Below are 22,433 nucleotides of genomic sequence, written 5' to 3'. Positions count from 1 at the left end.
CTGCTATGGCAAGAAAATGGATATATTCATGGGGACTAGAATGCCCTTCAAGTTAAATGAGACTCTATCCTACAGGCAGCACCAATCATTAATGTTTTTTGAGCAGGGCAGTTTCAAATGTCCTTAACAATTATTCTGTCATCTCAGAGAGCTGTATAATATAATTGGGGAATTGTGTAAGTCATAACTTTTTAAAATACGAGAAACTAGAGTGCTTTTTTGGTTCTATTTTTCCTATTAACTTTTAAGGTTCTAAGCAAAATGAAGCTCAAATCTTCTGTGAATTTTGCAGCTTCAAGAACAACCCCCACTCAGTGATAAGTCCTCAGGACGCAGGATAGAATATTGTAGTTTGGGTTTCCCCAGTAGCATACCCTAAAACAAGTATTAAAGGGAAAAGCATTATTTAGAAGGAGAAGGAAACACAGGAGAAGTGATCCAGAAAAGGAAGCCAATAAAAGGTACATTATCAAGCCAGTTCCTACAGTGAGGGAGTAAAGGTTAAACCTGCTATGGAGGCTTAATACACCTCAGATATACCCCACCTAAGTGGCAAGGGATCCAAGGTATTACACATTAGCTCTCTTTAGTTATTAATTAGAGGGCATTTCTCAAAGGGCATTAAATTCCCATCATTTGAAACCTGCAGCCCAGATGAACAAAGTAAGCTTCAGTGGCCAGGAAAATCCCACACTGAAATCAATGCAGAGGCTGCACTGGAGGTCAACAGGCACACAATGAAGTGGTAAGGGGACATGGCAGGTAATGACAGCATCTGCTACATGGATCATGGACCACAGCCCCATGGCATCAGCAAGTCTTGGCAGTTCAGTATCCAGTGACTATGCCCCTAAGGTTCAAAACATTTCACCCCCTCCAGGCTTCTGCCCCAGGCTACAGTAGAACCAAGGAGGCTGAGCATCAATCTGAATGCATTTCTGGCATTATGGTGGCTGTAAAATCCTTATTTTAAAGGACAACCCTGCCTGTCATTACAGTGCTTCATTACACTCTGGAGCCCCAAGGATTCTCCCCAGGGTTTGCCTCTACTGCCCATCATTAATATTTGCATTGCTTCAACCAAAGTTTTCTGAATGCCTACTACATGCCAAGTGCTACGCTAAGCTCTAGAGATATAATGAGGAACATGATAGGCGCACGCCATGTCTTCACAGATTCATATTCTAACGAAGGAGAAAATTAGAAATTAGTAAATGACTAATTGTGAGTTCTAAATAGTACTCACAATTTCAACTATGCACAGCACTGCCAACATACTATGATCTGTGACAAAGCTGTATTTCTGCTGAAGCATGCATGGGAACCCCTCCTGCAAGTCACTTACCTACTGAGTCAAGCTGAACAACTACCACCCACCTGCTTTTTAATATGACTCTGAAGGTACTTGGTCATTCTTGTGAATTGATAAAACTGTTTATCAAAAATTGCTCTTAAAAGAAAGCCAGCTGCCAGGACTGTTGATGGATTTAACATACTTCCTCTTTGCCGCCCAATCAATCTTCACCTTCTACTGAAACAATATTATATCTCTGTTTGAAAATACTGGGGTTGAAGTTTCAATATGGGTAACTCTGCAAATCTTTTTCACTTTTGTCTCCTCAAATCCCGCAGAAATGGGATAAGCAATGGAAAATAAGAAAGGGCATCATCAATTCATCAGTTAACCAGGAACTTTGAGGAATATCTGGAATTGTTTTAAAAGAAAAGCCAATTACTGTTGAACATTTAACACAGGCAAATGAAGGGAGACTGAGAGAAAATAAAAATTAAAAATCCCAGGTGCAGAGCAACAGGCAGGGATGGGGGATAGGGAGTGGAGTCAGTGGGGTCAAAGTAAAAGGGGCTAGGAACTATACCTCAAAGAGCCCAACATGAGGTGGGGAGGGCATGGATTGACCCCGGAGTCCACCTGGTTCTGACCGCTCACACAGGAGAGTAGACAATATGCTGGTGCAGACTTCTGTGATGGGTGATAGTGCTGGGGGACCACGAAGGAGGAAACCCTGTCCCAGGTAATCAGGCTGCAAACATCAATCCCCGCCCTCTCCAACACAAAATAGGCTCCACATAGCAGTGAAATCTCTTAATACATTCTGTAGTCTAAATGGAGACAAAACTTCTTCTCTACATTCTGTTAATCACTTCAGCTCTGTCCTGACACAGACACTGCTAGGAGACCACCACCAGCAAAGGCTGGAGAAGGGGCACACTGGGAGGCCGTAGGATTTAGGAATGTGATGAGATAACTGTGTTATTAGTCACTCTGCCCTATCACAGGGCTCCTCTCCAAGGGAGAAGCATAAATCCCAATCCCCAGTGTTGGTCTTGGGCATATGACTTGCTCTGGCCAATGAAATACGAGTGAATATGGCCCATGCCACCTTGAAGCAAAGGTCCCTTGTGCTCCCACATTCTGCATGAGAAAAGAGCTCTCAGATAAGAGCTGATCTTCCAGCCTGACTGCCATAATGAGAAGACTTGTGGCATTAGCCCAAAGTCCAAAATAAGGAGTAAACTTAAACTTGACTGACAACCTGGGGCAAAGCTACAGCTGATCCACAGATCCATTAGCAAAAACTAAATATTTAGTGTATTAAGTCACTAGGATTTTGAAGGGATGTTGGCACAGAAAAAAAAAAAAAGGTAATTTGTGTGATCATATAATTTACTGTCCAAAGCTAGGACACTTTTAGGAGAGAAAAGGGGTTATATTAATAATTACATGGGGATAAGATACTTAACCTAGGATTGTCCAGGGAAAATTAGGATGTAGGGTCATCATAAACTTAAGAACCCCATGTGACCTCTGAACTCATCAGCTTAGTACAACGTGACCTCTCAGGATTCACTTGGCATAGATAGCATGCTAAGTAAATTGAAGTTCTGCCTCACTTTAACTAGTAACCATAGGACCCCTGACCCAGTTTAAGAACAACTCCAGCCTGTTAGTTGACTACAGCTCATGCACTCACAAAACAGCCTGCTCAGAAGTCCAGTCGTGGGGGATCCAGAAGAGCAGAGATCTTGTCCATCTCAACACTGACTGCCAAGAATCTAAAAGAGTTCCTGGCACACAATAGGCATTCAGTAAGTGATGAAGCCCATCTGAGGAGGCCTGTACTATCTGCTACGTCTACCTTGAATTATGGTTGTGCGGGTTGTGGCCTGTAAACTCTAGGGGGCACCAGTTACAGTCATAGTCATTACAGATTGTTGTGCATATTGTTATTTTTTAAATTGTAGCAAATGGCAGGAGTGGCTTTTTTTCTGATTTACACAAAGGTGCTGTGTGAGTTAGCAGTGGTCCAGAGAGAAATGCCTATAGGAAACACCAATAGTGACCTACACAGCCACACCAGACACCAAGCATAATTGTCTAGACTTCTGTTTAGAAATAGCTGAGTATGCCTTCTAGATAGTACATTTCTACCTTTCTCTTGTTTTTTTCAGAAAGAGGTGCTAGAAAGCTACTTTGGAATCACTAAGGCCATACTTCCCACCTCAGACCCATGACCTCCAAAAATGGAGAGGGAGCATCAGCTTAGAATCACAAGATGTTATTTCTTAAGTTAGGTGGTAGAAACATGACCATTTGTTTTATTATTAATTTTTACATGTGTTCATGAGATATATTATTGTCATTTATGGTATATCTCATTTTAAAAATTGAAAAATATATGACATTAAAAATAGTCGTGACATAATTTTTCTAAAGAACAGGAATAGCATAATTAGTGCTTTTATCCAAGAGTTGAGGTAATAGCCAGATAGTCCCTCAAGGAAGAAAAGAGGCAAATGGCAAACCAGTTCTGATCCAAATCCCTAGAAGTATTGCTGTTTTGGGGGTGACCGTGCATAAAACTATACCCAGAGCTGCATGGAGTGTATTCTTCCCAGGGAAGATGTGGCATAGATGCCCTGTAATCACGCCTGTTTGTCAGAAACCTCTTCTACTGGCTATTAGCTCTAGCCATAAGACGTGATGCATTGTAGCAACATCCCTAGCACACCAGATAGAAGACACCCATGACACCTTAGACCCAGCAGACATTCCAGCTGGACACCTGTAATACTAGAGGATTCCTGCAAGCATTAAAAAAAAAGTGGACCTGTATTAGAGTGACGGTGATTACTGGCCAACAAGTAAAAAATTTAAGCCCACATACTCACATGGATGAGAAAAATTGGTTGTCTTCCTAAACTGTGAAGGGCCAGGAAGAACACATAAACAGACAAAAAAAGAAAAACCATGGAAGAAATGGGCAAATCAACACCTCAAAAGAGGTAACCAAGCTGAGCCATCAGAATAAATGGCCCCTGACATGAAAGGAATTACAGTAATGCAAGAGGCAAATTAATTCATGTACCGAGATTTATAAAACAGCAACCAAGGGTGAGAATTGTGACTGCAGCAGTAACCAGAAAAAGACACCCTTGAGATCCAATCTGATCTAGAAGTAAAATAATGTGATTGGTGAAATAAAAGAAAAATTAAATAGAAAGCAAAGTCAAGGAACAGGTACCTGAACGTAGACCGAGAAAAACAAAACCAAACAAAACAGAGACTTGGGAAATTTAAATGAAAGATATGATATGTAGAGTATTTATCCAGGAGGTCTAATATTTAAATTTTCCAGAAGTGAGGACAGAGAGAATGAGAGAATGAAGGTGAGAGTCATCAAAGAAAAAAACAAAGTCCCCTAGAACCGAAGGACAACTTGATAGGGGTCCGCTGAGCATCTATAATAAAATATCACTACCTTAATTGCATTATTGTGAAATTTCAAAACATGAAGATTAGAGAAAGTCACAAAACTTAAGAGACAAAATGAATTTGAAAAAATAACAAAGAAATTAGAACCATAGTGGCATCAGAATTTTCACCAGAAACCATAGATAATTGAATAATGCCTGCAAACTTCTGAGAAAAAATTACATTCAAACTAGAATTCTATACCCAAACATGATATCAATAAAGCATGAGGGCTGAAAAAGTCATCTTTCAAAACAAGTCAGAAAAATTATTTTCAATGTATTTATCATAGCAAGTTACTTGAGGATGAATGTAGGAGATTAAAATGAGGCAGAAAACACAGTGTACATGAGAAACTGTACTGAAGTTGGAAGACTGGTGGAAGGAAGTCCCAGCATGCGAGCTGAGCAACAGGCCTAGAGAGGGGCCAGTCCGGCCTGGACCAGCTACGTGATTGGGTTTAAAACACCATACAACTAAGACACATTGACAAAACAAGAAATGTTTTGAACTAAAAATGTAATAATATTAGAGATTATTGTTAATTATTTTAGGTATGATAATTGTATTGTGGTTATGTGTTCTAAATACATACAGAAATAGTCAAATGATATGTCACAATTTGCTTCACATTATAGGTAAAATAACATTGACTATGAATTGATAATTGTTGAAACTGAGTTTTGAGTACATGGAGTTTATTATATTAACCTCTCTACTTTTAAATATGCTTGTCAATTTCCTGATGGAAAGTAAAAATAAAACATATTTTGGTAGGCAGAATCTCTGACTTCAATCTTAGATATTCTTATTTAATATGTCTTGGGTGAGGTCCAGAGTCTCCATTTTTAGCAAGCATCTCAACTCTGAATAAATCTGATCTCTCTCTCTCTCTCTCTCTCTCTGTCTCTCTCTCTCTCTCACACACACACACACACACACACACACCGTGGTTCAGAATACAAGACATTTTCCTGATCCTCAGATGATTGTGTGTGTGTCAGGGGGAGGGCTAATAAATATAATACTGGGAAATTTAGTTAGAAAATCAGCCCATGGAGAACTTGAGGATATCAATGGTGCTTTGTAGGGAAGGTGGTAATGTAATTAGAGAGTGGAAACAGGTGGGACCAGACAGCTCTGATGTTAAGTGTTTCAGATTTTGCTGAACCAATGAGGAAACATTGTATTAAGAATGAACACAATGAAATCTTACTGATAATCCAGAACAATTCATGCCACAATTACCTCATCAATATCCCTTTCACGTAAATACAAAGCCTTTATTTAATATCTTATTTTCTGTATTTTTAAACTTTATAAAATGAATGTGTCTCTCTTTTGCAATTTAAAAAGATAATATTCCTGTGAAACTAAAACTTCTCTAAAAATTAAAGTATATTTAAATAAAAAGAAAGAGACACAGGAAGAAGAAGGAGGAAGAAGAGGAGAGGAAGGAGGAGAAATTGTTGAGTTCAAGCATCATAACATTCTGGAATTATCCAGTGAAGGAGAACTTAGATCCATACACACCTCAACAGGCCAGAGGGCATCCTGAGTGGTGATCCTGCAACATCTTGAATAAGAAGCATGTAATAGATTCTAGTTTAAATCAGATACTTTTTGTTTAAATGATTGAACTTAAGTTGTCTGGGAAATGCAATATTGCCAAAACATTGTTATTTAATTATACTTCAGGCACCATAGCACAGTAGCTGTAAACACAGGTTATAGAATTATACAGTCAAGATATGCATTTTAACATTGTGTAACCATAGATAAATTTTCTGTATCTTGTCTTGTCAAAGTAACATTGGGATAATAATAGTACCTATCTCTTAGGGGTTTAGTGAATATTTAGGAAGGTAGAAGTGCTCACTGAATGTAAGTTATTGTTTCTGTTTTTTTCATGAGGTATCTCAGGATTTGGCTGCTCCATATCAGACTTATTGCAAATAAATAATCACCTTGGTTACTAAATACTGAGGCTTCCTGCAGCTTTAAAAAATGGCCTGGCATCAAACCAATGTCAGGTGCTCAAAAGGTGCTTATTGAACTGAATTACTGAGGACAAGAGAAGGAGCTCCTATTGAGTACCTGATATTTGCTAAGTATTGAATTAGGGATATAAAATAAATAAAACGAATCCTTGCCCTCAAGGAACTACTAATCAAGAAAATTTCAAGAGTGCTAGTTGCAATTTATAGAGTACTACTATAGCCTAGAAGTCAGGCATACATAAACCAATACATGGAGTTCAGAGAGGCCTTTTCATAAGACACAGAAATTGATACCAAGAAATGGGGGTGCTGTTGAAACAAATAAATACCTAAAATATGAAAGCAGTTTTGAAATTATGTAATGGGTAGAAACTGGAAGAATTTTGAGGTGCATGCTTGAAAAAGCTTACACTGCCATGAATGGACCATTAAGAGCAATTCTGGTGCAGGCTCAGAAAGAAAAGAGGAGAGCTGTAGAGAAAGCCTCAAGCTTCTTGCAGAATACTTATGTGCCCATGACCAGAATGTTGGTAGTATATGAACAGTAAAGACCATTCTGATAAAGTCTCAGAGAGGAATGAAGAACATATTATTAGAAACTGGAAGAAAGGTGATCCTTGTTATAAAAAGGCAAATAACTTTGCTGAATTGTGTTTATGTTCTGCTGTTTTGTGTAAGGTAGAACTTGGGAGCAATGAAACAGGATATTTAGTTGGGAGCAATGAAACGGGATATTTAGCTGAAGCTATTTCTAACCAAAGTTTTGAAGGTGCAGCTTGGCTCCTCCTAGCTGCTTATAGTAAAATGAAAGACAGAATGACTTAAAGACAGAATTGTTAAGCAAAACAGAATGAGAACTTGTAGATTTAGAAAATTCTCAGTCTATCCACATTGCAAAAAATGAGAACCCACGTTTGGAAGAGAACACTAACAGTGTGGCCAACTGACTATTTAAGAGATTAGTATAGGTATGAACCACAAACTTAATCATCCACCCCAGCAGAGAAACTGCCAATTTGAACCAAAGGGGAAGGAAAAGAGAAGGAACGAAGGAAGGCTGTCAGATTTGGATTTTACAGGATGGGACCACAATGCTATTCAGCTGAGAACATTCACTATTTATCAAGAATCCTGAAGAAGACTCACAGATCATCAGGGCTGCCTCCTTGGTTTCAAAAGGGATGGCAATTGTCTTCCTTTCAATAGGCCAAATGGCCCCACTGAACTGAGAACCATGGGGAAAGGGCTGCCCAGATGTGTGGGTGTGTGGGCCATGTGGCAAAGCAGCTGGGGCAGAGCCACAGCCCCAGGCAGGCCCTCAGTCCCAGTGAGCCTGGGGGGCAGAATATTAAGCCAAAGAGGATTATTTTTGAGCCTTAGGACCTCATGGAGTTTGCCTTATACTTTGGACTTACCCAGGACCTGTTACCTCTTTCTTCTTTTCTGTTTCTCCATTTTGGAATGGAAATGTCCATCCTATGCCTTTTCACCATTGTATTTGGAAGCACATAACTTGTTTGGTTTCACAGGTTCACAGCTGGAAGAGCAATTTGCCTCAGGATAAATCATATTTTAAGTCTCATCCATATTTAATTTAGATAATATTTAGATGAGACTGGATTTTAGACTTTAGAGTTAATGCTGGAATGAGGTAAAACTTTTGGGGCTTTAGGGATGTAATGAATGTAGTTTGCAGTTAAGAAGGACATAGATTTTGGGTGGCTAGCAGTGGAATGATATAGATTTAATGCTTGTGTCCCCCCCAAATTCATATGTTGAGATCCCAACATCCAATATAATGGTATTAGGAGGTGGAGCCTTTGGGAGATGATTAAGTAATGAAGGTGAAGCCCTCATGAATGGGATAAGCATCCTTATAAAAGAGACTTAAGAGAGTTCCCTCACTCCTTCCACCATATGAGGACACAGAAAATATGCTGGTGCCTTGGTTTTGAATTTTCCAGTCTCCAGAACTGTGAGAAATAATTTTCTACTGTTTATAAGCCATCTAGTCCATTGCATTCTGTTATAGTAGCCCAAATAGACTTAGACACCATAGATGAGGAGTGAGCCAAATCCTACTTATTACTACTTCTCTTATACAAATATAAAACCCAGGTCATCTGTCATGGGGCCAAAAGACTTCAGCAGGAGAAAGAGAAAGTGAGGGCTTCTTTCTATGGCCATGCAAGTTGCACAGGGCACAACTTGCTGAGCTTTACATGGTGTCCCTGGGAAACAGCTTGTATATTCCAAGTGACCTAAGACCAGCTTTGCCATCATTTATATTTTGTGACCTTGGGTCACTGCCCCTCAGTGATCTTCCTCTATCACAACAGGTTTGGGCATAGCTCTCATATTATGTGGTTCTTCTGAAACTGCCATATGACTTGCAGTACACAACAATGTCTGTATCTAAGACGAAAACCACTATAATACTTCTCATTAGTGACCATAAGTCAGTGAGTACTAATTAACTGAAGGCTAAAACTTAGGGCCATTCCTGCTTTTCATTCTTGCAGCAGACATGTATGTGGCTCTCTTAGCTCTGATTCATGGTGAAAATTGCAAGGATTAAGGAGCATTAACTTGGGTCTGCAGGGCCATACCATTTTTAAGACACTGAGCCAGGTAAACAGAGCACTCTGCTGCCTTAAATATAAGAAGTTTGAGGGCTAGTAAAATGAATTGGAACATGGAAATTGGCAAATGGCATTAAATGCAATTTTTTTTTGTGACTGACACAGAGGGAAGAACATCTGAAATATGACTGTTTCTGGCTCTCTGATTCCTTCCTCAGAAGGCTGCCCAGATGATTCTGCCTATGTTAACTAAGGAGCTGGCCTAAAATTAGCATTGAGAGAACACTTTCTGTTATACCTTCTATTTGCAAAGTGCTGTCTCATCAGCGTGACCAGTTCCTCTTCACACTGGCATCACCACCCCTGCATTGCCCGGATGGGGCAGGGGTGCTGAAGCTAGACACTGACAGCCTGGAGCCATATACCCTAAGAGCCAGATTTAAGTTCTTGTGTCCATAACCCTGTTGCACCTGAGTCCCCACTTGCTGCCTAACAGGAAGGTTCAGGAATCATTATTAGGTTTGCTACTGGGTTTCTGCTTTCTTTTTACTCGATTGCTCCAGAAATTATTTAATTGGGGGAAAATCTACTTAAAAATATTTTACACCCACATAATTGGAAGTGCTTGCAAAATCTACAATGTTTTCTACACCATTGGATTCTGGCCTGTGCAGTGTAAATGGAAACACTCAGATGTGCTAGGATTCTTGTGAAATTACAGAAAATCTGATGTGCAGAGTTTTAGACCATTGAGACTTTTTGCTGAAAAGAACTGTGAAACGAAACTCAAAAACATGTAGGGACTGGGGACAGGCCAAAGAGGTCAACAACCCTCTGGTGTGTCCACAGGAAGTGGGATCCCAACCTGCCCTGTAGGGCTGTGTGGAGTTGGAGGGGAATGGGATTCAGGAAATGGAGACCAGCTTTGTGGCCTGCTGTGAGACTTTGGGCCGCCTGCACCCTCTCCTGGGCCATTTCTCACCTTTACAATGGGGGAAGAGATTCCTCCTAGCCTGGCTATGCACTTGCATCTGTATAAAACCTGTCACAGTGCTTTCATAGTGTTGGCTGAAATTCTTTTTAAGCTTGGCACTACTGTATTGGCTCAAATCTTTACACTTCCCACAGGACCCTTTTCCACACTTCTTCAGTGGATGTCATTTCCTTGGCCAGATCTTGTCTTGCTTTGATCAAATTCATGTTTTAACCTCTCATCTACCCTGTGGAACAAGACCAAAAGGCTGCTTATAATCACCTTTGTGAATGAGCATTTAGAAAAATCTCATAAAGCAATATATAATGTGGGAAAGTTTCTTCCCATTTTTGCCTTCCATGAGAAGTGACTTTTCCCTAAATGCTCCTGCTCACTTCTCTCACCCCTCACTTCTCCATTCCAAGAAGTGAGTTTTTTGATTGATTGGAAAGCCACACTCAGTCTTGCCTCTCCCTTCTATTTGACCTTCACCTTCCTACACAAGGCATGGTGCAATATTGGGATGTTTGTCCTTGCTCCAAACCCCAGGATTAGGCACACTTCCCTTCCTGGCCTTCCTCAGGTATAGCTGGACACCTTCAGGACAAGGCCTTGATCCTTAAACACATGGCCATGCATGTGTTTAGAGAGCAGAACTGCATACATGCTGTCTGCTAGCTGTACTTATGTTGGTATGGGCAGAAGACTTCCAGGCTTCTGTTGGCATGAAGAGAGTTACACGAGGAGATTTTTTTTTTTTTCCCCAGAGCACAGCAGTTGAGCAAGACACAGGATATATGAGAAAATGACTTGGAGATTGGGTGCAGACTTGTTTTTAAACACATGTGAGACACTCCCTAGAGCCTTCTCATAGTTCTTGAAAGAAGGAGCAGAGCCCCTGGTGAGTCCTGGTGAGCTGTTGGGAGCAATGGGCCAATGTATTTTGTGTGTGAGTATCTGCAGGCTGCTCAGGTTCTCGGCATTTCAGTTTATAATTCTATGATTGTAAAACAATATTTTCTCTTTCAAATTAGAAACTTAAAATATCCTGTACTCAAATAACACAGCATTTATATGTGCTGCCCTTTAGAGTCAAAGACTCTCTTCCAACATCTGATGAATACTGAAACCATGTCCTAACATTTGCATTTTAAGTCTTTCAGTAGGGAACTATGGAAGTTCCATTTACCATTGCAAATCTACTCTCCTCCACTCTCTTCCCAGCTTTGGGCTCTGTGAGGCTGACCTACATGGACTATAATAAGGGATTCCTTTGCATTTGGATTCTGTTGAGTTCAACCAAAAGGAGGCCCTAGAGGGATATTGGAGGGTGGCAGATGAGTGAAGTTATAGCATTTATTCCTCCAACTTTCTTCCCGCTAAGTCACCCCATTGCATGTGTCCCTCTACTAAAAGCCACAGCTCTTTTTTTTGGGTTCTTTCAGGCCTGTGGATAGCAATGGCTCCCTACTATTACTAGCCCTGGAGTATTGCACTATCCTTTGATCCTTTCCTTGAATCCTGACCATATCTTTGTTATATGTTCCTGTACTAAACTCTCCTCAAATTACCTAGTTTGACTATCACCCGTTTCCACTGGGACTCAGAATGATTCACTGTAGACTGAGTTGTTTCCTAACATACAAAATGAGATGAGCTTTTATATATTAAGGGGCTTCCAGATCTCATATTCTCAAATTGTGTGAGAAAATCTATCTCTAAAGTGTCTCCTACAACTTAGCAAGATACCTGCCACACCAGAGGAACTCAAATTTAATGAGTTACAAAATTCTAAGCTACATAACATTTCTATTTTATAACTATTCCTTACTCCACTAAAAATGTGATTTAGGAAAAAGAATTGGCAAAGAAGCTGTGTGTTTAAGTATATATACATATACAATAGGCATTAAGATTACATTTTCATCATGATTGAAAATGATACAGTGTTTCATGCTTCTCTAAACATTTAAGACTCCACGCAGGCAGAGCAGTATAGTAGAAGGAGCATTGGTTCTGGGACAAGCATCATGTATTAAATTAACCTCACAACATGTTGTATTGAGCTGCTGCTCATCGAGGTATTATATAACTGGGGCTGGAGTGGCCCATCCAGACTGTTTCAGGGAAATGAATCTTCAGAAGTTCTTAGTGCCTGATGATAGTTCCAAATAGTCTTGCTTCTATGGTCAATATTAACTTTAAAAGAGTCTCTCCTGAGAAATACTTCCAAGCTACAAGGTTGCCTAGTGTCAGAATAGAGAGTGGACTCCTGGTTCAAAATTTTCCCTATTTTTTTCCTCATTTGTCTGTCTTGAACCCTTGTCTGTGGTTAAAAGCACAGACTTTGTTCCAATGTAAAACTCCTTACTACTTGTACTGTTATACCTGAAACCCACCTCTACACCCCAGATCACGGATCTGTCTGTGCTGAAAGCATGGTCAGGTTTCGACTATTAGTATTTGGTTAAAAGCATAAGCTATTGTGTCTTTGTATTCAACTGTCAGCTTTCTACAAATAATATGATTTGAAGTCAATTTCCTTTTAGCAAATAATTCATGCTACTAAAATAAGATGGCTTCTTCTAAATTGTTAATTTTTATCAGTAGTCATGCATAGCAATTGGCATTTACTCATTAGAGTGATTATTAACAATGCCATATGACCAAGAAATGTAGTAATTGTTCTAAAAATCATTGATCAATAAAGAAAAATAATACTTAAGATTACAACACAGTTTACTCTTAAATCAAACTAGAAGATACAAAGAATACCAATTCTTTTCAAAAATGTTCTCCTCAGGCCTGCCCTCTCTGAGTTACAGAAATTCTGCATAACAGGCAGTGGACCGAGCTATAGCTATGAGCAGGCAGTGTTGTTTTTCCTAAGACATTTCTGTAATCTTCACTTCTCTTTAAACCAAGTAGAGTTTTTTATTCATGTTTTTAAAAATTGTAGCAAAATATACATAACATCAAATTTACCATTTTAACCATTTTAAAGTATAGTTCAGTGGTAATTAACTACATTTATCCTGTTGTGCTGTGGTAGTGGTGATCCACTATCCATCTCCAGAACATTTTCACCATCCCATGCTGAAACTCTGTACCTATTAAATACTAACTCCCTCCTCCAGACCCTGGTAACCACTGGTCTATTTTCTGTTTCTATGATAAACCAAGTTGTCTCATTTTACTGAAATCTGGTCCCTAGATAGGATCTTTGCCTTGCAAAGGTACATATGGAAGAACAGGAGCCAGAGCGCTCAGGCAGCTCCTGAACAAATACTGAGGAAAGAGGGGAGTCTGCAGCACATCTCAAATGATGCTCTGGAGACTGAGGCAGGAAAGAGGGCTACAAATAGGTGTTTTACTAACATTTTCCAGATCCTCTGGCCCTAGATGGAAATTTGCTCTCCTGAGGATGCACAGAACTTTTCACACTTTTCTGGGCATCCATCAGCATCCTGTATCACCAGGGGTCCAAGCAGCATTGCCATGAGACACTCTCTATAAAAAGCTGGGCTTGAGATAGAAGTGCCTCCCTAAATACCAGAAATGTGAGCACTGGAGACAGGAATAATGAAGACTCCAAAGAGCAGCCATAGAGAGAGCAGGGTTCTCACACCTGAAAGAGTGGAAGAAATTGAGGCTGCATCACTAGTGGGAGATCAGACAGTGGTCTATGGACAGAACAGAGGTTAGCAGACAACAAGGCAAAGAAAACAGGAGCAGCATCAGGAGACAGAAATAGTAAGAACAAGTATAAATGAGAAGGAGGACAAATGCAGTAGGCTCAGATGAAAGACAGCAAAGCCAAAAAAAATGGCTCATTTTATGTAAGATGTTATTCTCCACCATATCCCCAATGGGGGACTCACAGGAAAACAAAAGAAGTAGTAGGACAGAGGTCCTTCCTATCTGTGGACAGATAAGGGGTAATGATCCAGTAGGCCTAGATATCCAGTGCTAATGTATCAGGCCCAAAAGGGCATGAAGTTCTGGAAGACATTTGGGTGATGTTCTGAAAGATATTTGGGTTAGATAATAATAAATGGAACAGAAATAAGAGGTATTAGAAAGGATGAGACATTATCATAAAAATATAAGAGAAGAAAATCAACTAAGGAAGGGGAAGGTAGATGAAGAGTTTTTTTTTTTTTACAAATACATATAATGCCATAGTTTTACCAAATACCAACAATAGCCAGGTACATAGTCCCTTTCAAACCCTTCTGTCAAAGTACTTCTATGGAGTACTGCCCCTCCACCTCAAGAGTCTGGGGTCCCTCCCAGGGTTTCCCAGGCCCCTGACAGTTACATACTTATTTCCCACTATTGTGCCTCTAGGAGTCTGTGTCAGAAGACCCTTGGATAATCCTATAAAGCTAAGTGTAGGGAGCATCTCTGCCATCTGCCATGACGTTATGATGCTTCTCTCTACTGGGAACACATAGCTTGCTATTTATCACTTGGAAAACATGGTGCACAGGGCTTAAATAATGCCACTTCCTTCAGCAAACTTATAAATATATAATAAGGAAACAATAAAAACATAAGGTGTTTGGTTGTCTTTTCATAAATTCCATATTGTCTTGGGAATTCCTAGATGTTTGCTGCTGCATAATTTGTTACAAGCTAGAAGAGAGCCATTATCTCATTGTCCCAAAATAAGAAAGAAAAAGTTGCAGTTAAAAGTCATCATTATTTATCATGTCATAAAAAAGGGATGAAGATTATCTCAAGAGGAAGACGCAATAGCCAGGTTATGAGTAAGAAACTTCAGCATGAGAGAATGCCTTCTCGCCTTCTAAGATAGTGAGTAACTCAATTTTTACTGTGGCCTTTGAATAACTAAGGATAGAGACCACAACCACTAGTGAGCTGAGAAACCAGTGTGGGTGATAATATCCAATTATTACTTAATGTTGTCTTGAGAAGAAGTAGACATTGCTGAGACTGATGTTGGTCAGGGTTCTGAACTTTTCACTCAAGGACTTATAAAAATAGCCACTAATTTAATATGGGCATTGATATGGTTTGGCTCTGTGTCCCCACCCAAATCTTATGTTGAATTGTAGTTCCCATAATCCCCACATATCATGGGAGTGACCCAGTGGGAAGTAATTGAATCATGGGGGTGGTTACCTCCATGCTGTTCTTGTGATAGAGAGTGAGTTCTCAAGAGATCCGATGGTTTTATAAGGGGCTTTTCCCCCCTTCACTCTGCACTTCTTGCTGCTGCCATGTGAAGAAAGGCGTGGTTGCTTCCCCTTCTGCCATGATTGTAAGTTTGCTGAGGCCTCCCCAGCCCTGCAGAACTGTGGGTCAATTAAACCTCTTTCCTTTATAAATTACCCAGTCTTGGGTATTTCTTCATGGCAGCATGAGAATGGACTATCACGGTAAATTGGTACCGCAGAGAGTGAGGTGCTGCTATAAAGATATGTGAAAATATAAAAGCGACTTTGGAACTGGGTAACAGGCAGCAGTTGGAAGAGTTTGGAGGGCTCAGAAGAAGACAGGAAGATGTGGGAAAGTTTGGAACTTCCTGGAGACTTGTTGAATGGTTTTGACCAAAATGCTGATAGTGATGTGGACAATGAAGTCCAGGCTGAGGTGGTCTTAGATAGAGACGGGGAACTTGTTGGAAACTGGAGTAAAGATCACTCTTGCTATGCAAAGAGACTGGCAGCATTTTGCCCCTGCCCCAGAAAGCTCTGGAACTTTGAACTAGAAAGAGATAATTTAGGGTATCTGGTGGAATAAACATCTAAGTGGCGAAGTGTTCAAGAGGAAGCAGAGCATAAAAGTTTGGAAAATTTGCAGCCTGACAATATGATAGAAAAGAAAAAGCCATTTTCTGGGGAGAAATTCAAGCTGGCTGCAGAAATTTGCGTAAGTAACAAGAAGCCAAATGTTAATCATGAACACAATGAGGAAAATGTCTCCAAGGCATGTCAGAGACCTTTATGGCAGTCCCTTCCATCACAGGCCTTGAGGCCTGGGAGGGAAAAATGGTTTCCTGGGCCAGGTCCTGGGCCCCCCCTGCTGTGTGCAGCCTCAGGACTTGGTGCCCTGCATCTCAGCTGCTCCAGCCATGGCTAAAAGAGGCCAAGGTATAGCTCAGGACATTGCTTCAGAGGGTGCCAGCCCCAAGCCTTGGCAGCTTCCATGTGGTGTTGGTCCTATGGGTGTGCAGAAGACATGGGATTTCAGAGGATATATGGAAATGTCTGCATGTCCAGGCAGAAGTTTGCTTCAGGGGTGGAGCCCTCATGGAGAACCTCTGCTAGGGAAGTACAGAAGGGAAATGTGGGGTTAAAGCCCTCACACAGAGTCCCCACTGGGACACTGCCTAGTGGATCTGTGAGAAGAGGGCCACCATCCTCCAGACCCCAGAAGGATAGCTCCTCTGATGGCTTGCACCATGTGCCTGGAAAAGCCACAGGCACTAAACACCTGCCCGTGAAAGCAGCTAGGAAGGGGGCTGTCCCCTGCAAAGCCACAGGGGTGGAGCTCCCAAGGCTGTGGGAATCCACCTCTTGCATCAGCATGACCTGTGAAATATGGAGTTAAATAAGATCATTTTGGAACTTTAAGGTTTAATGACAGCCCTGTTGGATTTCAGACTTGCATAGGGCCTGTAGCCCCTTTGTTTTGGCCAATTTCTCCCATTTGAAATGGGTGTATTTTCCCAATGCCTGGACCCCATTGTATCTAGCAAGTCACTAACTTGCTTTAGATTTTACAGGCTCAAAGGCAGAAGGGACTTGCTTTGTCTCAGATGAGATTTGGACTTGGACTTTTGGGTTAATGCTGGAATGAGTTAAGATTTTAGGGAACTGTTGGAAGGGCATGATTGTGTTTTGAAATATGAGGCCATGAGATTTGGGAGGGGCCAGGGTTGGAATGATATGGTTTGGCTCTGTGTCCCCACCCAAATCTCATCTTGAATCATAGTTCCCATAATCCCCATGTGTCATGGGAGGGACTGGTGGGAGGTAATTGAATTATGGGGCAGTTACCTCCATGCTGTTCTCATGATAGTGGGTTCTCAGAAGATCTGATGGTTTTATAAAGGACTTTTCTCTTGCTTTACTCTGCACTTCTTCTTGCTGCTTCCATGTGAAGAAGGACACGTTTGCTTCCCTTTCTGCCATGATTGTAAGTTTCCTGAGGCCTCCCCAGCCCTGTGGAACTGTGAGTCAATTAAACTTCTTCCCCTTATAAATAACCCAGTCTTGGGTATTTCTTCACAGCAGCATGAGAACAGACTAATACAGTCATGGAAAGGAGAAAGAATCCTGCCTCATCTTTAGCTCCCAAATTCCTATGAAATAGGTACTAGGGATAGCTCGGTGTCTTAGGGAGGTGGAAATAAAGCCCAATGGTCCAGGTAAACTCATGCTGAGTTTTTGTTTGTTTGTTTCTCAATGCCCAAACTCCATAGTTAGGTGATAGAGTGGGTGAAAAATAATGGTGAATGTGTCTTGTAAAGAGAAAAAATTATGGAGAAGTAGGGGAGGGAGCAAAAGGTTCACCCATACTAAAGTACTCTGAGGTAAACTTTTGTCTTTGAAGACACTAAGAATATGAAGCAAAGAGAGATAAAGCAATAAAGGAGCAAGTAAACATAGAAGACTAACCTAGAAGGCTCCCTGAAGAGAAAACAGACAATGGAGGGGAAGAAATTGGCAAAAAAAATAACATTTCCCAGAATGAAAGACATCTTGTTTTTATTAACTGTCCTAGGAAATGCTGAGAAAGATGAATGAAAAAGAGAGCACACCCAGACACACTGCTATGAAATATCAGAACTTCAAGGTGAGAGAGAAGACTATAAAGAGATCTAGAAGCAGACTGCCTTCAGACTTCTCTTAAGGAATCTAGAATGCTAGAAGCCTATGAAACAATCCCTTTAATATACTAAGAGAACATGATTTTCATTGTAGAATGTATGCTTAGCCAAATCACTATTTAATATCAGGACAAAATAAGAGCATTTTTAGAAATGTAAAGGGCTCAACATTTACATACCATGTTTCTCTTTTGAAAAATTTACTTGAGAATGTACTCCAACTAATTAAGGAAAAAGGAATTCAAGAAAGAGAAAGTAGGGAAACTAATGTACCTAACCTTCAAGTGGCAGTAACTTGAGGCTCAGCTCTGTGCAGGTTTAAAGAGTATCTTTCTAGAAGAATACTGTCAAAAATAAGAAAGTTGGCTTCTCAATGCAAAATGTATGATCAAGAGGCTGGATATACTTAACAATATAGTGAAGAAATACGCTTTTATTTAAAAGATGCTTTCCTTGTTTATGAAATATCCTAAGTATTTTATGATACAAAATCTTATAAAATAGCCTAAGAAACACATAATACCATAAAGGAAAGTTAATAGCCAAATACCAAGTCAATTAGAACATGACAAGATTTTGAATAATTGATGGAGATAAGTGAAGACTTTAGATGCAAGGAACAGAAATCTTCAAGTGGCAAGAGATTAGCATAAAACTGTGTTGCCTTTTTGGAGGGTCCAATCACACTTCAAGGCTGGGTAGTTACTAATTTTTTTACAAAATTACAATATTGTAATAGCAATAACAATAGCTCCACATTCGAGTTCCTAACAAGTGTCAATGATGTGATAAGGCAATTCATTGATTATCATGAAAACCCATGATTACTACAAATTAACAGATAAAGAATCTAGGCACAGAAAGGTGAAATAATTTGCTGAAGGCTACTCTTAACCACTGTACTCTAATATTAAAAAGTCTTCTTGGCTAATGCGATTGGGATCAGTTAATTGAAAAAGTCAGTTAAACCAAAAACTGCCTCCGCTTAAACCTTATTTTATTTTAATGTAAATATTTTATTTTTACTGAAAACATTAACTGAGCTTTTGACAAAGGGTAATGTTCTTTTCTTTGAATATGGGTCCTCTGATTATATTTTTGTGTTGGCTTTTTACATAAAAAAATACCCATAATGCAGTTTTGTCTGTGTGTTCAACTTGCATTTCCTTAAAGTAGAATAAGAAATTAAAAATATTTGTGGAGCAATCTGAGAAGAAAATCCTTCTAGGTTTTTACCACTGTCTTCAATCTTTCACAGTTTTTCTCCATCCTAATTTACCAGCATTTTTAAAAATAACTTCACTGAGTCTTACAAAGCATTTGATTCAGTTTGGGAGCAAAAATAGCTGCTTCTTAGTAAGTATTCAGCTTAACATATATAACATATATATAAATATATATGTTAGGCTGTGTGTGTGTGTGTGTGTATATATATATATATATACACACACATACATATATAATCTAAAGTTGGTAAACCAAAAATTAAAGTACATTATTTACAGAATAGTGGGAATTATCAGAAACCTAAAACTAGAAAAGGGTAAATAAAAATGGTTGCCTCTGGGAGTGGACCCACAGGTCCATTCTAAATTAAAGCTTTCTCTCTCTCTCTCTCAATCTCTGTTTCTCTCTCTCCTTTGGTAATGTGTGTGTGTGTGTGTGCGTGTGTGTGTGTGTGTTTTAACACGGTGCATATATTACTTGGATAATTATTATTAAAAATTATAAAATGTAGAGAAGTTAAATGTAATTTAAAGAAAACATGCTTTAAATTAGGAGGCTGAAACATTCCAAATTCTGACTCACAGGGATCCATAAAGGGATCAAAAGGGGCTGTGTCTCAAGGGAAACAACTGCCAGAAAGCACAGGACAGCACCTAAGAATGTTTCTCCTCTCAGGGACTTCCCACCATGCTGCCTACAGGCTACTCCAGGTTGGAGGACCCCGATGGCCACTGAAGACACCTCTAGGCTGGCAAGCGTGCACACAGTACTCAGAGAGGTGCACACTAGAGGAGCTGTAATTAGGTACTGCTGGTCATCAGCACCTTGGAGCCTGGAGTTCCTAACCTGACATCTGTCTACCTGACTGTCTCTGTGAACTCACACCTCCATATTTACCTGGGCAAAGGATATTTTATAAAACCCCTCAGTCATGGTTCCATTTTTTTTGCCCTGAGCCAGGACCATGGAATCAGTTGCACATCCCCTTAGGAGATTTGTATGCAATCAACTTGGCTTGAAGAGAGCATGGAAAAATAACATAAATGTTCTGAAATGGGTTTGGCATTTCCTCTCAGCCAAAAGATTATTTGGTTTTATGTTATGTTCTTTATAATATGAAAGAATGTTGCTTATTTTCATTTTATAAAGTAAAATTTTATTACATTATTAGGAGAAAAGTTTTCTTACCCTAACCTGGAATGAGTGGACTCCATAAGAATTTTTACTTGAGATAGTATTTGAGGACCTACAGAAAATCTCTTATGGCTGAAATAGCAGCCAAGTTGCTGGGTCATGGCCAATGTCCACAGCAGGAAGAACAGTTAGCAACTTAAAGCAATTTTGTGTTTATATTTGTTTGGCAAGCAAAGTCCTGTTTAAGTATCCCCTGTGTCATAATTACAAAGGTCAGTACAGAAAATACTGATAGAGCCCAGGTACCTACAGTGGGAAGTTCCAAGACACTTCTGGAAATGCTCTTGGGGAGCAGAATGAACTTATTTAACAATTTGCTTACAAGCATAACAGCGAGAAAACAGGAAGAGAGAAAATAATTGTGCACTAGAAGTATATAGCTTATTCTATTACCATCCAAAAATTCTATCCAAGAAACAACCTTGCACAGCACTGTCTGTTTTTAATAAGAATTTACACAAAAGTGGTGGCTCAAATCCTCATATCTTTCTATGTGGCAGATAGTCTCAAACTTTCAGCTCCAAAAATTTTTACACATCAAATAAATTCTATATCTGGCTTTGTGTAAATGGCTCCAAAAATCTACTCTCATGGCCACAGCTAGGCTGCCATCGAATTTTAATTGCAAACTGAATACCCTTTTACAGAACAGGTGTAGAAGAAAGGAAGTGGAAATGTAAAAAGCAGTAATATCATAACATCACTGTATTCTGAAGGGCTTGTAGAAAGTGTCAAGGTATCAAAAACAGTTTTGCTGAAATCAGTAGGATGCAACATGAGAGGGGTACCTTTACATGTCAGAATATCTACTGATGCAAAACACAGAGCTGGCAAAGAGTATGAGTCATAAATAGTTTCCCAGACATGACAGAGGAAACCTGTTCTATTGGATCTGATCTCATCTGTTTAGGAATTCCTCTCATTGTGATGCCCAGGGGCAGGACACATTTGTCAGACATGATACTGTTATGCTCTGGTTTAGAGGAGCTGCATTTGTATGCAAATATAGAAATGTGCCTGAGTATCATACATATGCTCCTGCATAAAAGCAGGGATATAACCCCGTCACATATCTGTGAGTTCAGAAAATCTGCCCATTCAGTAGTGAATTAGACTCAGCTCACAGAAGCTCATAAGAATCAACTTAAATTTTCAGGAATTTTGAGAGCTGATTATTAAACACAGCCACCATGAAAAACTAAATTATATAAATGTAAAATTCAATAAACTATGCTGAAAACAAAGGTAATATTCAAAAGTCAAAGGTGATATTCAAAGATGATTCTCAAAAGTTATCATTTCCTACTCATTTAACTACAATTTATTGTCTATGCTCTCAGTGTTACTTACATCTCTAGTATCTTCTTCTTCTCCACTTACGTCTATAGTATCTTACTTACATCTATAGTACTTACATCTATAGTATCCCTTCTTCTCCACCTGGAAATACCAGATATTGATGCACTACTGCACATCTCTTCCCAGCTCCACGGTCAGCAATATCTTATTGGTAGCTTGAAAACAGCCAGGCTGGGAGCACTTATACCACAAAACTTGCAAACACCACAAACCAAGGTTTTATTTATTATTTTGTTAAGGTCTTCTGAAAGTGACGTTTTATGAAAGTCTTACGATAGTGCTGGAGAAAATGTAAATAACAGATGAAAAGTGTGTCTTGTCTGTAGACATTACTTTGTAAACAGCACAAAATATTGAGGACATATTCTTCCAATATTAAAAAACTATTATCTGATTCAAGAAGTTGCTCAGATTATTGATGAATAAGTGAAGTTCTGACATGTGTCATTGTTTTACTTTCCTC

General features: G+C 39.6%; 1 protein-coding gene across 10 annotated transcripts in view; it reads right to left on the bottom strand.

The window, feature by feature from the left end:
- The window catches only part of SYT9 (synaptotagmin 9), a 230,266-nt gene that overhangs the window by 166,262 nt on the left and 41,571 nt on the right, over positions 1 to 22,433 (bottom strand). The window lies entirely within an intron of this gene.

Source organism: Homo sapiens, chromosome 11 (assembly GCF_000001405.40).
Source record: "Homo sapiens chromosome 11, GRCh38.p14 Primary Assembly".
NCBI lineage: Eukaryota > Metazoa > Chordata > Mammalia > Primates > Hominidae > Homo > Homo sapiens.
This window is presented reverse-complemented; position numbering and strand designations above follow the sequence as displayed.